Source organism: Homo sapiens, chromosome 5 (assembly GCF_000001405.40).
Source record: "Homo sapiens chromosome 5, GRCh38.p14 Primary Assembly".
NCBI lineage: Eukaryota > Metazoa > Chordata > Mammalia > Primates > Hominidae > Homo > Homo sapiens.
Genome location: NC_000005.10, coordinates 76587347 through 76603602, shown reverse-complemented (window position 1 = coordinate 76603602; position 16256 = coordinate 76587347). Strand labels below are relative to the sequence as shown.

At 39.0% G+C, this 16256-nt stretch overlaps 1 protein-coding gene across 8 annotated transcripts in view, besides 1 other annotated feature; it reads right to left on the bottom strand.

Moving 5' to 3' along the window:
• The window catches only part of IQGAP2 (IQ motif containing GTPase activating protein 2), a 304848-nt gene that overhangs the window by 104530 nt on the left and 184062 nt on the right, over positions 1-16256 (bottom strand). For all 8 annotated transcript variants that reach the window (NM_006633.5, XM_017008960.2, XM_047416641.1 and 5 more), the window contains 6 exons: positions 14630-14697; positions 13875-13988; positions 13017-13195; positions 10678-10765; positions 6001-6164; positions 2631-2791 (listed from right to left, as the gene is read on the bottom strand). In NM_006633.5, coding sequence (NP_006624.3) covers positions 2631-2791; positions 6001-6164; positions 10678-10765; positions 13017-13195; positions 13875-13988; positions 14630-14697 — 774 coding nt within the window. The remainder of the gene's footprint in view (positions 1-2630; positions 2792-6000; positions 6165-10677; positions 10766-13016; positions 13196-13874; positions 13989-14629; positions 14698-16256) is intronic.
• Positions 13196-13425: an enhancer, noted in NCBI's record as "active region_22693". NCBI's record gives its function as "activates an Ori minimal core promoter by ATAC-STARR-seq in GM12878 lymphoblastoid cells {active_cell/tissue: GM12878}" and the evidence as "EXISTENCE:reporter gene assay evidence [ECO:0000049][PMID:35858748]".

Here is a 16256-nt window from a genome sequence, read left to right as displayed (position 1 = left end):
AAGGACCATTAAAGAGTCCATAAGAGTAGATATAATGGGGTTCAAAGCAAGAAGTGGAAGGAAACCCTTATTGGTGGAGCACCCTCCCTGGGACAGGCACTGAACCAAACACTAAATCCTCAAAACAGTTCTGCAAATGCAGAGTGGGGCTTTTGTTTCTTTTGTTTTTGTGCTTTATAGATGAAGGAAAAAGGCTTAGTTAGGGAGGGTCAATCTCAGATATTTTTGGTTCCAAGGCATATGCTCCTTTAACCACATCATGCTACCTCCCAGGAGAGATAACATCAGATGCTAGGGTGGGGAGAAGCACGGATATACCTCACAGAACATAATGTATGGTAGGCAGGGCTCAGAAGCTCCAATACTGTGTTTAGCTGAGCTGGGTAAAGGCACCAAGTTCCTGATGGTGAGAGGACCACGCATAGGAACACAGAGACCAGAAAGTACACTTGGACTTGGCTAAAGCACAAAATACGAGTAGGGATGGAGCTGGAGGTAAGGTCAGAGCAACATGCTTAGAATGAGAAGTCTGTTCTTAATTCGGATGTGAACAAGGAACAATCAAACAGAATTATGAATAGGGTTACATTTTAGAACAGTTAATCTGGGAACAGTGTATGCCCAAGGCTAATGTTAACCCATACAATACTTTTGTGAGAATTAGACAAAAGAATCTCTCTGGGCAAACACAGCCCCAAGAGTAGAAGCCACGGTGAACAGGGAGAGACTTTGCATGAATTTGTCAAGGTGGCCATGCACAGCACACTTGTGCTATGAAGAACCTGCACTCTATGGGGAGAGGCCCTGGACAGAGCCGTGTTTCTCAAACTTGATAATCTGCAAAACTGGGATTCCAAGATCCCAAGTTAAGATGCTGACTTTGGAAGTAAAATGCCAAGGCTGTAGAAGATCATTTGGGGCCAATACAAGTGTCAATACAAGAACCCAAGTGGGCCCTTAAATCCCATGTCAGTACTGGGTCTTCCAGATCCAGAATGTATTTAAATTAAAAAAAAAAAATCAAAACATTTTAAAAGTTCTTCACACAGAACACTCGAACTGTGAGGCTCCATCTGTAGGTCCCAGCTGGAAACTACAGGTATGAATATGGTTTTCAAATAGAATGGGACCACTTCTTTAAGGGTATTTGTAAATGAAGAAGCAGGCATTTTTGATAATCAGAATGGGTGAGTCAGGGGCTAATGTCATGTGGAGGACAGTTGCCAGGGATGCTAAATATGTGGAATAGTCTTGACAGTTATCTCACCAAGATGCCCCATTAGCCTGTAAGCTTCATAAGGGATTGACCGGGTCTGTCTTCTACTCTAGCACTGAGAAAGTATGGCAAAGCCTGGTTAGGTAGGAATGATTAATGAATGGGGAGAGAAAAGAAGTAGGATGACCAATTTAGGGGTTACTACAGAAGCAAAAGTGAGAAGTCTAAGTGAGGGTGGTTGCAGGGAAATGGAAACATCTTGCAGAGGTATAAGGCACATAGACTGGCTACTGACAGCAGGCTCTTTAGAGCACGAGGGTGCCCGGCTGAGGGCAGAGGGAAACTCAAATTGGGCTTCAGGTTTCTAAGCTTACAGGAGAGAATGGTGCCATTAACAAGTAACAGAAACAGTGGTGGTAGATATAAATTACCTTGGAAACACACTCTAAGGAGTCATATGAACCAGATGGCCAAATTTAAGTAGAACAAGAGAATTAGTTTCTCCAAAAAGACTAAAAACAAGGAAAACCCACCATCCTTCCATTACCTTTTGGCCATTCACTACATAGACAAGTGGTCAAATACCATTTGTTTAACCTAAGAAATCTCTGGTTTTTCCTTGGCAACTGTACATGACCCAAGAGAATTAGCCAACCTGCCTATTAGAGCCGTTCCAAAATCAGTAGCTGAAAAGAGCTTTTGTCAAGATCTGTGCAGACATCTCCCCCTGGTGGTTACAAGAATCCAAGATTCACTCATTTTAACTGGGGCTTTTATCTCAGCGACTCTCTCATCTGGCTCCCAATTCTGGCCATTTGATTTTCTCTCAAGATCCGCTATAGTGTTTTATAACAATGCTATCAGTTGTACTATCTGGTAGCACACTTCAGAAACATGAAATGAAAGATAAATGGATGTTGTTACCCACTGCCATGACCCACTGTGGTCTCAGGATTTCTTTGGCTTAATAATCAGAAGAGTGGAGTTTGGGGCCCAACTGCCCAATTTTAGGTCCATAACCCGGATTCTGTTTCTGCATCAGTGACATAAAAGAATTGGACTGGATGATTATTAAAGTTGCTTCCAACTCTTCTACATTCTGCGGTTTCCAAAAGACGCCCAAGGAAAGGTATGTTTCCAATAGTTCCTTTATTTTCAGCCTATCAAATAATCTTTGCCAACGACAAAGTCATTTATTAATTGCCACAGGATGATCACTTTCTGATTCTTCTTGTTCCCCAGAAGGAATACTGTAAACAAGGATACTAATTAGAAGGACTCTTAAAACAGACTAGTTTTCAAGAAACATGAGCATGGTATATGGATTTCTCCACCAACAGGCAAATTCCTCACTTTTAAGATCTGCCAAACATGCATTTCTGCATTGAAAGAAGGTTTGGAAAATGTTCCTTACCGTTCCACATATGCCTTGTCCAGATTGTTTAAGCCTATTGCGGGGCTTCTGAGTTGATTCTGCACAGACACAAGATCGTTGCTTTCCAAGGCCTGGTTTAGTAAAGCAACAGCAGACAACATTTCCACAGCAATCAAAAGCTCCTCGTGGGCCAAGTAGTTCTGTTGGAAAACATATGGCAACATAAGCTCCCCACACAACACACCTCATGTGCATGATGGAGGTTTACAATGCACATTTCAACAAACAACAAAAAGTCAAAGAACTTGATAGCTCAGCAGAAAGAGGAGTCGTGGCCACCTGCTTTCCACTGGCTTTAAGAACAGGTATATGGCTCCTGGGCTTTCATTAGATGATCATTTTTTGGGACTGGGTTGATTACAATGAAAAGTTACGATTCCACAAATATCTGCATTCCCATTGCTGATCCCTACTCCTAGCTATACTGGTTGCTTAAAGGCTCAGTCCAGCCATATAATTAAGCCAAGGACTAGATAACATTGTCACTGACTGAGAGTGCCAGGTAACATTTTAGCACAGCTAACGATTTCCAGTTTGAATTAAGGGTTAAGGGAAGGTTGGGAGAATTTCACTGAAAAGTTATAATCTGAAGCACAAAGCAAGGTCTTCAAACCAAGACTACTGATTTAATTCAAAAAAAGTTAAAGTGACATTTTCATAAATTTTAAAATAGAAATTTTAAAATACACTACCAGGTCAAGATATTTGAAGAAATCTGAGGTGATCTTTTGGTAAAGCAAGTAAAGCTCTCCAGGTTTTTTTGTTTGGTTTGGTTTGCTTTATTTTTATTATTATTATTTTTTGAGATGGAGTTTGGCTCTTGTTGCCCAGGCTGGGGTGCAATGGCACGATCTAGGCTCACTGCAGCCTCCGCCTCCCAGGTTCAAGCGATTCTTCTGCCTCAGCCTCCCAAAGTGCTGGGATTACAGGCATGAATCACCACACCTGGCCAGATCTCCAGGTTTATATGATTTAAAATCTGGATTTAGCTTATCCAAAAAAATACGTCTTAGATTTCAGAACACCCTTCCCCTTTAATATCTTCTTCCATTTAACCATTTTATATTATCTTGGCCCAACTTCAAAAGGAATATTTTTTTCATCATATTGAAGGGACATAAGGAGCAGGAGCATGAAAAAGAACCACTAAGGAAAAGCTGATACATATTTTACATTTAGGATATTACAGGTATTTAATATATAACATAATGTTCATCTTAAAATGCATTATTATATCTTTCTGGATCTCCACAGAAGTCTCGCAGCAAACTGATTTCAGAATAAAAAGGGATAGTTTAATCTTTCAAAGCAAATGGGAAGAAGGGGTTACCATCGAGAGCATGTAAGTAAATTTTATTTAAATATATTACATTAAATACAAGTTTAACATACAAAGTATCAAATTATAAGAGCAGAATGGAATCGTTTATAATTCACCTCCTCTATCTCTTTCAGTGACCTGTCCGTGGATACCTAAATTGGTTTACAGCAAAAAGGATAAGGAGAGAGGAAGAAGAAATGAGGTTGGACAGCCACAGGTTAACTATGGCCAGTTGAGGATGAATGAGTGTCCTCAAGCATAAGTAGCCTTGAGCTTCAGAGCCAGAGAAGTGGAAGAAAATATTAATGAGAGAACCTGAATGAAATTAAGAAAATAAGCTATTTTTCTTTTATTACAAATACTATATTTCTATTTAGGAAACATAGGGAGTCTTTTTAATTATTATTATTATTTTTGTAAAGATGAGGCCTATGTTGCCCAGGTTGGTCTTGAACTCCTGGCCTCAAGTGATCCTCCTGTCTCAGCCTCCCAAAGTGCTAAGATTACAGACAGGAACTACCACACTCAGCCAATACAGAAGTCTTAGTAAGCAAGAATAAGAAAACAAATGCTACCACTCAAGCTCTTTTGTGTATATCCTTTTATGTATTTTAAATTCATATATACATTTGCAGAGGTTTTGTCTTTATAACTGACTTCACTTTCTTTTTGCAAAAAACAAGATAATGCTATATATCTTAATCTTATTTTTCCCACTTAATATTAGTATGGATATCTTTTCCAGTCATTCTTTACATTATCATTTTTACTGGTTGCACATATTTCTCACATGTACAAGCACCATAAATGTTATTAATTTATAGGCAATCTGTTATTAATTAAACATTTGTTTCCTGGTTTTCAGTATTCTAAACAATGCTGTGAAACATCTCTGTGGCCAAAGCTATTTGGTTCATATCCTTCAGGCTTATTTTCTAGAACGTAACTGTCAGCATCATGGGCTTTTGATCTGTATTACTAAGACCACCCTGCAGAAAATCTGTATAATTCATACTCCCAGCAGCTGTGTAGGAGATGTTTGGGCCCCATATCTATCCCTACGCTGGGTTAAATCTTTCTAATCTTTACCAATCTAATTTTAAATCATAAGTGTACTGTGTTTTAATTTATATATTTTTTACTTCTGATTGAGTTTAAACTTTTTTTTTGTTTGTCATTTGTATAGTTCTTGTTTTATGAATTGCCTGCTCATGTTTTTGGCCTCTCTTTATTGTGTGTGGATAAGTGCTGATTGTGACTTTAAAGATCCAATGACTGTCCTGTGTTTTTCCTTAGAACTTTAATTTGTTAAATTATTTTTTATATTTAACATTTTATGTTGAAAATTTATTTTGATATATGTGTAGTGAGTTAATGTTTTCTTAACAAAGCTTAAACACTTGCAAGGATATCATTTATTAAATAGTTGTTTCCCCACCTTCTTGAAATACGAGCCTTGTTATATGCTGAATTCTTGGTTCTGCTTTCAGTAGTTTTCATTTTGTTTCATTGTTTGGCTTACAAGAGTGTTAGTAAACATGTTCTTAATTACTGTAACCTTGTATGAAATTATTGTTGAATGCTGTTGTCATATTAAGGTGCACAAGTTCACAAAAATCAAAGCCATGGTGCTAATGGTCTTATTTGCAGTTTCTAAAATTGCAGATTGAGCTTATTTTCTACATAAAAACATTATATATTGTAAAAAAAATACCACATCGGTATAGCTAAAATTTATCCAAGGTGTCTTCAAATATCACACAGAAAATAAGAACAACCTATTTTCACAGGTATATGTATAGACCACTGCTGGAATTTCCTAACTATGCTCTTAGATTCTTTATGTAGACTAAAAGCAAGAATTAACAAGGAAGAAGGCCTTGGAATTGGTACAGGTGGGCCAGTGAGACCAGGACTGGTACAAATTAGAGATCCCCGATCCCTATTCCCCTTTCCTAACTAGGCTTCCCTAGTGCGCCATGGCACGCAGGGTTACCGTCCCCACAGCTGGGGTCTCCTCTGACTTACCATGGTGTTCTGTTTCTGGAGGTTGAAAAGTTCGTTCTGATACATGGCAGCAGCAAAGGGATAAACAGCAGGCAGCTGGGCCTCTGGTTTCTTCAGTGCAAGCAGCGTATTCTCGGGGTCACCTTCCGGAATGACAGCATTGATATGGTCCACTGCAGCCTGCCCTGAGGATGGGGGTTCATGTTTTGTCAGAATGGTTGCTCTTTCCACTGCAGTCTCACCCAACCAGCCCTTCTTCCCAAGGATTTGAACCTAAGCAGTTACTTTTCATGAACTCTGAAAAGCTGCAGGCAGAGGGTAGGTAAGGCTTTGAAAATGTTATCTCAGTAATTCAAACTAATCCAATCTTTGGAATTAGTGCCTACAAGAACCTTAGCATTGATGGAGCTTAGGGTATGAGATCATTCCTGAGTAGCATGACTTCCTTCCAAAATCCTTCCTTATAGGACCAGCTCTGGTCTCATTTCTTCCCTGAAGCCTTCAGATTGCTCCAGTCCTTAAGGATTTCTCATCATGTGAACACCATAGTTATTTAAAGCTGGGCCATGTAGTTCCAGCAGGCATGTTCCCTGTGCTCCTTGTGCATTAGTACTGTCTCCCCAAGGAGACTTCAAGTGACAAGAAGACCAGAAGCAAGCCTTGCCCTACTGTTATATCTTCCTAACACATAAGCACTGCGGTAAGCCTACAGCAAGCACTCGGACATATTGCTGCAACATCTGAGACAACCATAAACTCTGTGATATGGTTTGGCTCTGTGTCCCCACCCAAATCTTATGTTGAATTATAATCCCCAATGTTGGAGGAGGGATCTGGTGGAAGATGATTGTAACATGGGGGCGGATTTCCCCCTGGATGATAGTGAGTTCTCACGAGATACGGTTAAGTGTGTAACGCTTCCCCCTTCTCTCTATTCCTCCTGCTTTGGGCATGTGAAGATGTGCCTGGCTTCCCCATCACCTTCTGCCATGATCGTAAGTTTCCTGAGGCCTCCTTCAGACATGCAGAACTCTGAGTCAATTAAGCCTCTTTTCTTCATAAATTACCCAGTCTCAAGCAGTTCTTTATAGCAGTGTGAGAATGGACTAATACACTCTGTGATCTCTCAACCAGTTGTAAGGTGCAGATTATAAAGAAATGAATTTTGGTTACCAAACTGAGATGCTTGGAACAGTAGATTCAGCATAGTTTTCAGAGAACAAAAATGAAATTGCTGAGTAAATGGGAGAATGAATGATGAACTCTGCCACCAGGAAAGAGCAAATCAGACAGAGATTGCAGAGTTTTGCCTTATAGAGAAGGCATCTGGGTAGCAGAAGTAACACATACCCATACATTTTTAGAGCCTTTCAAGGGTTAGCCTGTCTGCCTAATTCGTGACTAGATTGCAGCTAAGATTCTTCTAACCCTTTTTGACAAGATGACAATTTATCTTCTCTAAATACATTCACGAGGATCTTCCCTCAATATTTTTACTAAGAGATATAATTCAATAACAGGAAATACTTATGATTAATGGAATCCTTCAAGTCATCCCCCAGAAAACTCACACTTAACCTAAAGGACCCTGAGAACCTTAGCATTTCTATCTTTAAAATTAATGTGACAAACCAAAAAATTTCAGAAAGGAAGGCTAGTGGTTGTTTGTGGTATTTGCTGTTCTGCTAAAGTTACTCCAAGGCCTTTCAGCTGTATCTCGGATTACTCTAGGTAGGATCTTGCTTTACCTTTGATAAATTTATTATATGGGTTTGTACAGCTATATTTCAAACATCAGAAAATCATGTCTTTAAAACACTGTTTTCTCTCTCTCTCTCTCTCTCTCTCTCTCTCTTTCTTTTTTTGAGACAGTCTTGCTCTGTTGCCAAGGCTGGAGTGCAGTGGTGCAATCTTGGCTTACTGCAGTCTCGACCTCCTGGGCTCTGGAGATCCTCCGACCTCAGTCTCTACAGTATCTGGGGCTACAGTTGTGTGCCACCACACCCGGCTAATTTTTAAATTTTTTTTGTAAAGACTGAGTCTCTCTTTGTTGCCCAGGCTGGTCTTGAACTCCTGGCCTGAAGTCATCCTCCCACCTCAGCCTCCCAAAGTGCTAGATTACAGGCATGAGTCACTGCACCTAGCCTGAAAAACACTATTAAATAAACAATTTCTTCTAAAAAAATAAGGTAAGATCAACCACTCTTTTACACTCTGCATTTAACGAAATGTCCAGGCAGGGTGTGGTAGCTTTTGTCTGTAATCCTAGCATTTTGGGAGGCTGAGGAAGGAGGATCACTTGAGCCCAAGAGTTTAACACCAGACTGGGCAATAGAATAAGACCCTGTCCGGAAAAAAAAAAAAAAAAAAAAAAAAAAAAGCAAAGAAATGCAAAATGTCCAGCTCTGATCTTAACAGAAAATATCATGCAATGAATGGAATGCATTTGCTGAACCTGAAAGGTAAAGGGTTATAATGTGAACAAAGCTGAGGCCTCTAACAACAGATCTGTTGACATTACCACCAACATTGTCACTGATGCTATTACTATGGTTGCTATGAATGTGGATGCCTTAACATTTTAATATAATAACCTACATGGTTGAGGAAAATCTTGTCAAAGTAATGATTCTTACTTTTTTTTTTTAAATTTTTTTTGAGATGGAGTCTCACACTATCATCCAGGCTGGAGTGTAGTGGCGCAATCTCAGCTCACTGCATCCTCCACCTCCCACATTCAAGTGATTCTCCTGTCTCAGCCTCCCAAGTAGCTGGGATTACAGATGCCCGCCACCACGCCTGGCTGACTTTTTGTATTTTTAGTAGAGACAGGGTTTCACTATATTAGCTAGGGTGGTCTTGAACGCTTGACCTCGTGATCCACCCATTTCAGCCTCCCAAAGTGCTGGGATTACAGGTGTGAGCCACTGCACCCAGCTGATTCTTACGTATTTTAAAGTGTACAATTGTCTCATTGTCATGTCATCAAAATGAGGGTTTTTTTCCTAAGGTTACTTTCAGTTCTACTGGACTATAAATTTTAAGATGGGGAGAGATAAAAAGACTTCAGAATAATCATGTTCTACACATTTAAAGCCATCAAACCTTGCTTTCATATTTTCAGCCGGTTTTACCATTAGTGCAAAACATCCAATGCCTTTTACTTAAAAATGGAAAAAAAAAGTATAGCCAATTTGGCATTAAATTTGCGGTCAGGAAATTATGGCACTGAGTAAAGAACTAAAACATTTATATAAAGCATTTTATTTAACATGAAAAAGAAAACTGTTTTCATGGTTATAAATATTTCAAAAATAAAGGATGGTTAAAGGCTATGGAGCCATTTCCTCTCTAGGCTTATGGACCTCAGATGTCTCACTGGCAACATTAATTTCCTCCTGTAATTCATTTCTGTCAAGCATCACGAAGTTCTCAGCTTTCGCATAGAGCAAAAAGACAAACTTTAAATTGTACTTCATGTATCATCAGTAACATGTTCAAGATTTCACAAGAATAAAACAACAGGCACATGCACCCTAAAATGTTAAGGTGTTACCTTAAAAAAATAAAGGCAATTGAGAGTTTTCAGCCCAGTTATGTGTATGTGAGGCATATTCTCAAACACATTCAGTTGTTAACTCCTAGACATTTACATTAACCCTCTGGGGCTTTCCTTAATTACTGTTTGAGCCCCTTAGGATATTTCTCTCCAGCAATTTAGGAGCAGACTTCTTAGTAACACCGTGGGTGTACACTTCTTTGCAAGAGTTACAAGCAAAAAAGAATATTCAAAACTCAACGAGGATGTTAAAAGGAAGGCAAGGTTTAGGACTGTTGTAATTAGTGGATACTCCAAATTTTAATTTCGCAGGGAGTTCACATGCTTTATTAAGCAGGCTAAATGGCCTTTCATGTATTAGTTTTTTGGGTATATATGGATTATCTAGATTGACCAGGGAAAAATAAACATCAAATGAAATTTCTTACTGACTCTTCTGATGCTCAAGTAAAAATAGGTTTTGCCAGAGGGGAGAAAAGACTAATAAAAAAATTGATGTATCTCAACCTGCATACGCTTATTTTAATTACCTGAGTCTGCTGTTCTTTACAATCAGACACTTGAGCCAGGTACTAAGAGGAACTCATCTGCTTGACTCCACAGAGGCTCAGGGGTGTGGGACTCAAAGCTGCCATCATGAGATTTCATCTGGCCTGTCCATAGTCCCATTCACTGGCACCAAAGTTACACAAGTGTAAGAAAAATCTTACAAACAACAGACTAATGGCTGGGAAGTCACAGAGAGCAGTGGTGTCAATAGTACCTTTTACAATTCCAATAGAACATCATCGCATAATCATGGGCAAGCAACTACAATCTGTAAATTATAATCTTTTACTAAATGACCTTCAGTATTAGCCCCAAAAGTGACAGAATTAAAATGTGGAATGTAATGAAACAGGAAGGTAGAATCAAACTAGCTTCAGGATACTTTGTGTGGACTGAGATCACCAAAAAAAGCCCAGTGGGAAACTGCCAAATGCTGCACCATAATTAAGAGCAACACTGACACTGAGTAGATTTTTCATTGTATAAGGCAGTTTTCCAAGTATACAAATTGAGAGTTGTGTTGGGATTCTGGCAAGGAAAGTCTGTATCTTACGGAAATATCAATTTCCTTCATACGATCCATTACTTACTGTTGACTTTATTAATATTGCCTTGGATTTCTGCTTGTGTCAGCAGTTCTTCATAAGCATCTCTTTCTTCTTCTGAAATACAGCTATTCTGCAAAACAAAGTCTTCACTGATTTCTGAGGTTAAATAAAATATTTCCAAAACTCGAAATTCAAATGGAAAAATGTGAAGAGTGACAAAAACCATTCCCTAATTATTTAAATTCATTGCAAGCATTTGTGGAGTGCCTGCTCTGTGCAGGGGACTAGGGGAGAATGCTGGCAAAGACTACAAAGATGAATGACAGACCCGGTGACTCTTTGAAAAGGGCTAATTTTCAAATGTGGAAAACATTAGTTTGGACCACTTGGTATTGCCCTTTTTTTAGATCAAAAACAGTTGAATAGTGCCAATTTCATTTGATTTGATCTAATAAAATCAAGAACACAAGTAATAAATATACCTAGAAGAACAGAATAGGTTCTATAAGAGAAGTACTATAAGCATTTTTTAAGAAAGTATTCATACTTAGTTGGGAAGAAAATTTTGCAAAGAGATCATAATCAATGAGGGCTTCGAGCAACAGAATAATGTCAAGAATAGGAAACAGACAGCAGGATTTGGTTACACAGATGGAAAGCTTAGCACATTAGGCTACAGCTTGGAGTGTGTCCATGGTGAGCCAAAAAGATGAGGGGGTCAGCTGAAGGCTAAGCTAAGATTTGGTATTTAATTCAGTAGGTAATAGAGAATCGGGGCATGTCTCTGGTGGGTTAACACAAGATTTGTAGTTAAAGATCAGTTTTGTAACCTCTAGCTTTAAGAGGGATTGGCTTAGAGAGTAACAGGAGGCAGAGAGACCCACAAGGAAGGTGCTTGATAGAAGAGTCATGCAATGAGGTCAGAAGGGGCAGGACTGAGGCAAGACTGGTGAGACTAGAAGGTTGGCGACAGATTCAACTCCAACAAGAGTAGGCAGCAGAATCTAGCAATGCATGGGACACAGGGGGCATAAAAAGAGTTCTGAGACAAACCCGGCCATCATTCTGAACCAGGGAAGTCAGCAAGGGGAACTCTTCTGATATAATGGGGTACAAAGCCAGAGGGACACAGACAAAGTTATCTGGAGAAGGAGGAGAGAGGCCAATTTGGGATGGGCTGGCATAAAGCTGATGGCTGATTTCTTCAACAAGTGGATGAGCTCAATGGAAGAAGAACAGAGAAGGGATTCCATGTCAGACCTTGAAGAATCCCCATACTGAGAGGGAGAAGGAAGAGGAGAAAGAGGCACAGAGGAGAACTGTGGCAGCAAGGACGCACATAAGCTAGTGAAGCAGAGAATCTCAAGGTAGGAGGCCAACCCTGCCAGATGCTGGTGGAAGCCACCAGTTGAGAAAATGCCAAAACCTAAAGTGGTTACTTTCAGTCATGGAGCTGAAACTGACATGGCAAGAGCTTAATGAGAGACAAGCTGGTGAGGAAGTAGAAGCTCTCAGCGTAGACAAATTTTTCAATAATGGACTACACAGAAAGGTGGTTACAAATGGAGTTACGATTAGGAGCAGGCTGTCTTGTACAGGAGGGACATCCTCAAATATAAAGGATTGACTATTGGGAAAATATGAAGACTGTAGATTCAAAAACATCCTCTCTGAACTTCACCACACTGAATTATTAACCTCTACTACCAAATGTAAAAGTAACTTGGCTAATGTAAGGTCTGTTGATGTCTAACAAGGGATGATCATGAGTTGCTACTTCTACACTTCCTGGGGACATTAGTAAGTTTGCAACATGACTTTTAATTCTGTCAATATATAACATCCATCACAAAATTCCCTTTCTAAAAATTGAGAGAGGGTCTCAGTCTGTTGCCCAGGCTGGAGTGCAGTGGCAGGGTCACAGCTCACTGCAGCCTCAACCTCCCAGGCTCAAGTGATTCTCCTACCTCAGCCTCCCGAGTAGTTGGGACTACAGGCTTGCACCACCAAGCCCAGCTAATTTTTTATTTTTATTTTTATTTTCTTAGAGACAGGGTCTCACTATAGCGCGCAGGCTCGTTTTGAACTCCTGGACTCAAAGGACCCTCCCGCTGCAGCCTCCCAAAGTGCTGGGATTATAGGCATGAGCCACCATGCCTGGACTATAAAATTCCTTTTTATGCCTTATATAGGGATATAATCTAATTGCCTTACCTAGTGTATGGTCCTCTTGTATGCTACATTTCATTCAAATCAATTGTCTACGGCTATAGAGAAAATAGCCAATTGATTTAAAAGTATTGCTTTCAACATTAAGGCTTTTCAAACTAGTAACTCATAAGCACATTCATTACTGTTTTTATTACTCAGAATCTAAGCACCTTCAGTCTTGCATTTTCCTCTTTTTTCTTTTTGGCATCCCAGAGTTCTTTCTGATATTCTGGTGCAAGGTTGTCATCCACTAAAGTTAAAACCGCATTTGGGTTTCTTAGTGTTACAACGGTTTGCTCTGCTATTCCTTTTTCAACTGCTTCATTAATGGCTATAACTGCAGCATGTACTAAAAAGTAAAGAGAGAGAGAGAAAAAGGTTTTTATCAGCAAAAGACAACATGGACAGTTGCATTGACCCTGTGTAAACTCAAGCAGTTTTACTTTCTTTCTTGGCTTCCAGTAAATATGTCAAAAAGAGAACTGAGACATATTATGGAGCACCTGACAACCTCTCCACATGGCTGTCTTTGGTCCTGATCTCAGCATCTGTTAAGTAATTCTGACTCATTTATACATCACTGAATGGCTAAAATGAAGCAAGCCCTATGTCAACCACAGGAGTTAGAAGGTAAGTCAATCCTTGCCCTCTGGTCAGGGCGACATGGGTAATTTTAAAGTAACATGTTGGTTCCAAGAAATACTTGCAATTTAGCTTGCAATACTAAAAGACCTGTAACAATGAACTCTACCACTAAAATCTACAGACACAGAAAGTAGAGAACTATGGACAATGAAGGTATTTCTAGAACCTCAATTCATGTTGTACAAGTAGAAGTCTAAAGACCAAAATCAATTACTTGGTTATATTCTGACATCCTCAAATTAATCATCTATAAAACAAATAATAAAAACTTTTAGGGTGCTTAAAGTATCTTCTAAATATTCTATTTCGAGTAATCAAAATCAATAGGTAAAGTACAGGTAAGTCTCACATCCATGGCAAGTTTGGATTTTGAATGGACTTACATGCAGCTTCATCCACGGACAGTTCATTGGCCAGAATACCACCTATTTTGCTGAAAGATGGCATCTGTATTCCATATTTCTCAAGTTCTTTTCTCATATTACTGATTTCCTCCTCTAACAAAGAACAAAATAATCATAATCATTATCAGAGAAAGCTACAGACAGAGATGGATGCAGGAATGAGTACAATCATATCAAGAAATGTCTTCATCAGGAAGTGGGGTTGTTTGTAAACAAGAGCCTTAGGAAGAACCTAGCCCAAGTTTCTCATTTCACAAACATGGAGAAGGAGAACTCAGTCAAGAACAAACAAGATAGGTCTGTTTTCTCTTCTCATCAATATACAGGAATAAGGGAAATCAATAATATCAAAATGGGGAAAAAAGGTATTGGTAATTTTTTTTTTTTTTTTTTTTTGAGGCAGAGTCTCGCTCTGTCGTCCAGGCTGGAGTGCAGTGGCACAATCTCAGCTCACTGCAAGCTCCGCCTCCCAGGTTCACGCCATTCTCCTGCCTCAGCCTCCCAAGTAGCTGGGACTACAGGAGCCCCCCACCACGCCCGGCTAATTTTTTGTATTTTTTAGTAGAGACGGGGTTTCACTGTTAGTCAGGATGGTCTCGATCTCCTGACCTTGTGATCCGCCCGCCTCGGCCTCCCAAAGTGCTGGGATTACAGGCATGAGCCACCACGCCCGGCCAGGTATTGGTACTTTTTATAACTAGATTGTAAAAAATTACAAAGATAAAGAGTAGTACCTGTGAAGTCTACTTTGCCCAACAAATCCTGGATCTGGGGTGCTATTCCTAGTTTGAACAGATACAAACTGAAAGAAAAAAACACAAAATTATCAGAAATTTTATCATCATAAGTCTTAATGTTATAAATTACATAATTCTTAATAGTTTTTTCAGTTGAAAAGACCTAAGAGATATCTAGTCTATTCATTTTGTAAATGAGGAAACTGAGTCTCTGGGTAACAGAGTACTTGGTGAGGCCAGGATCAGAATTCCAATCTGTGTCCCAAAGACTGGTCTTCTACTGTAATCCACTTCTACAGCACTTCTACAGAGCCAGCTAACTCTGCATCATCCATTTGTATGGAGAACAAGAAACACAGCTAATACAAAACAGCAGGTAACAAATGCAATAAACATTTCTTTGAATATTCCTCACATAATTCTTATTTTATTGAAGGTACAGCATGAATTATATTTTGCTTTTTAATATTCCTCCAAGTACCACATACCCCTTGAGGAAATATTTGTTTTACATTTTCTAAACCAATAAATAGAGTGGCAAGACTATCAGTGGGTGAGGTAATGTTAAACTATGATGTGTGTATATTACCCAAGTGGAAGATGGAGAATAAATTGGATGTATTTAAAAACAAATCCATAAGGTAGTAATGATGGCATCCATTAACCTACCCATAACCTGAGAAAAGAACTTGAGAGCTGGCATCTAAATTCTATAAAAAATATATGTGCTTTCCCCACTTTTATCACTGAGTCATAGTTTCAAGTAATAGTATATATGAGAAAGTGAACTGAATGATTTTTATGGCTTGAAATACTTCAAAATTATCACTTCAGATGTTGATGTGAGATGAAGCTCCATAGTTTATAGAACATAGAATTTCATTAAATGCATTAAGAAAGTTCAAGATCAAGCTTTTTTAATGGTATTAAAACAAACTCTTAAAATGTATGATTAGTCATTTAATGTAAGTAGCTTGCATTAAAACTGACAATAATTTTCTGATTTTTTTTTTTTTTTTTTGGTTGAGACAGAGTCTTGCTCTGTCGCCCAGGCTGGAGTGCAATGGCGTGATCTCGACCCACTGCAACCTCCACCTTCTGGGTTCAAGCGATTCTCCTGCCTCAGCTTCCCAACTAGCTGGGATTACAGGTGCATGCCACAGAGCCCGTCTACTTTTTGTATTTTTTTTTAGTAGAGACGGGGTTTCACCATGTTGGCTAGGCTGGTCTCGAACTCCTGACCACCCACCTCTGCCACCCAAAGTGCTGGAATTATAGGCATGAGCCATCGTGTCTGGCCAATTTTCTGGTAATTTTTATGAAGAGCAATTATTTAGAAAAGTAATACATGATCAAAGTAAAAAATTAGTGGCTTATGGTTTAAAAAATTACACAGAAAATCACCACTCAGTTACACACTAAATATTTTGGTATATATGTTCTTTTAAAGTTGTTTCTGGACATACCTATTTTATAAACGTATATATTATTCTAGAATATGAATGTACTATAATTTTCTTAAGCAAGTGCTGAGCATTTAGATTGTTATTAATTAATAACTATGGCAAATAATGCTTAATAAACCTACTTACATATAGACACAGACACATCTTTGTGCATATTT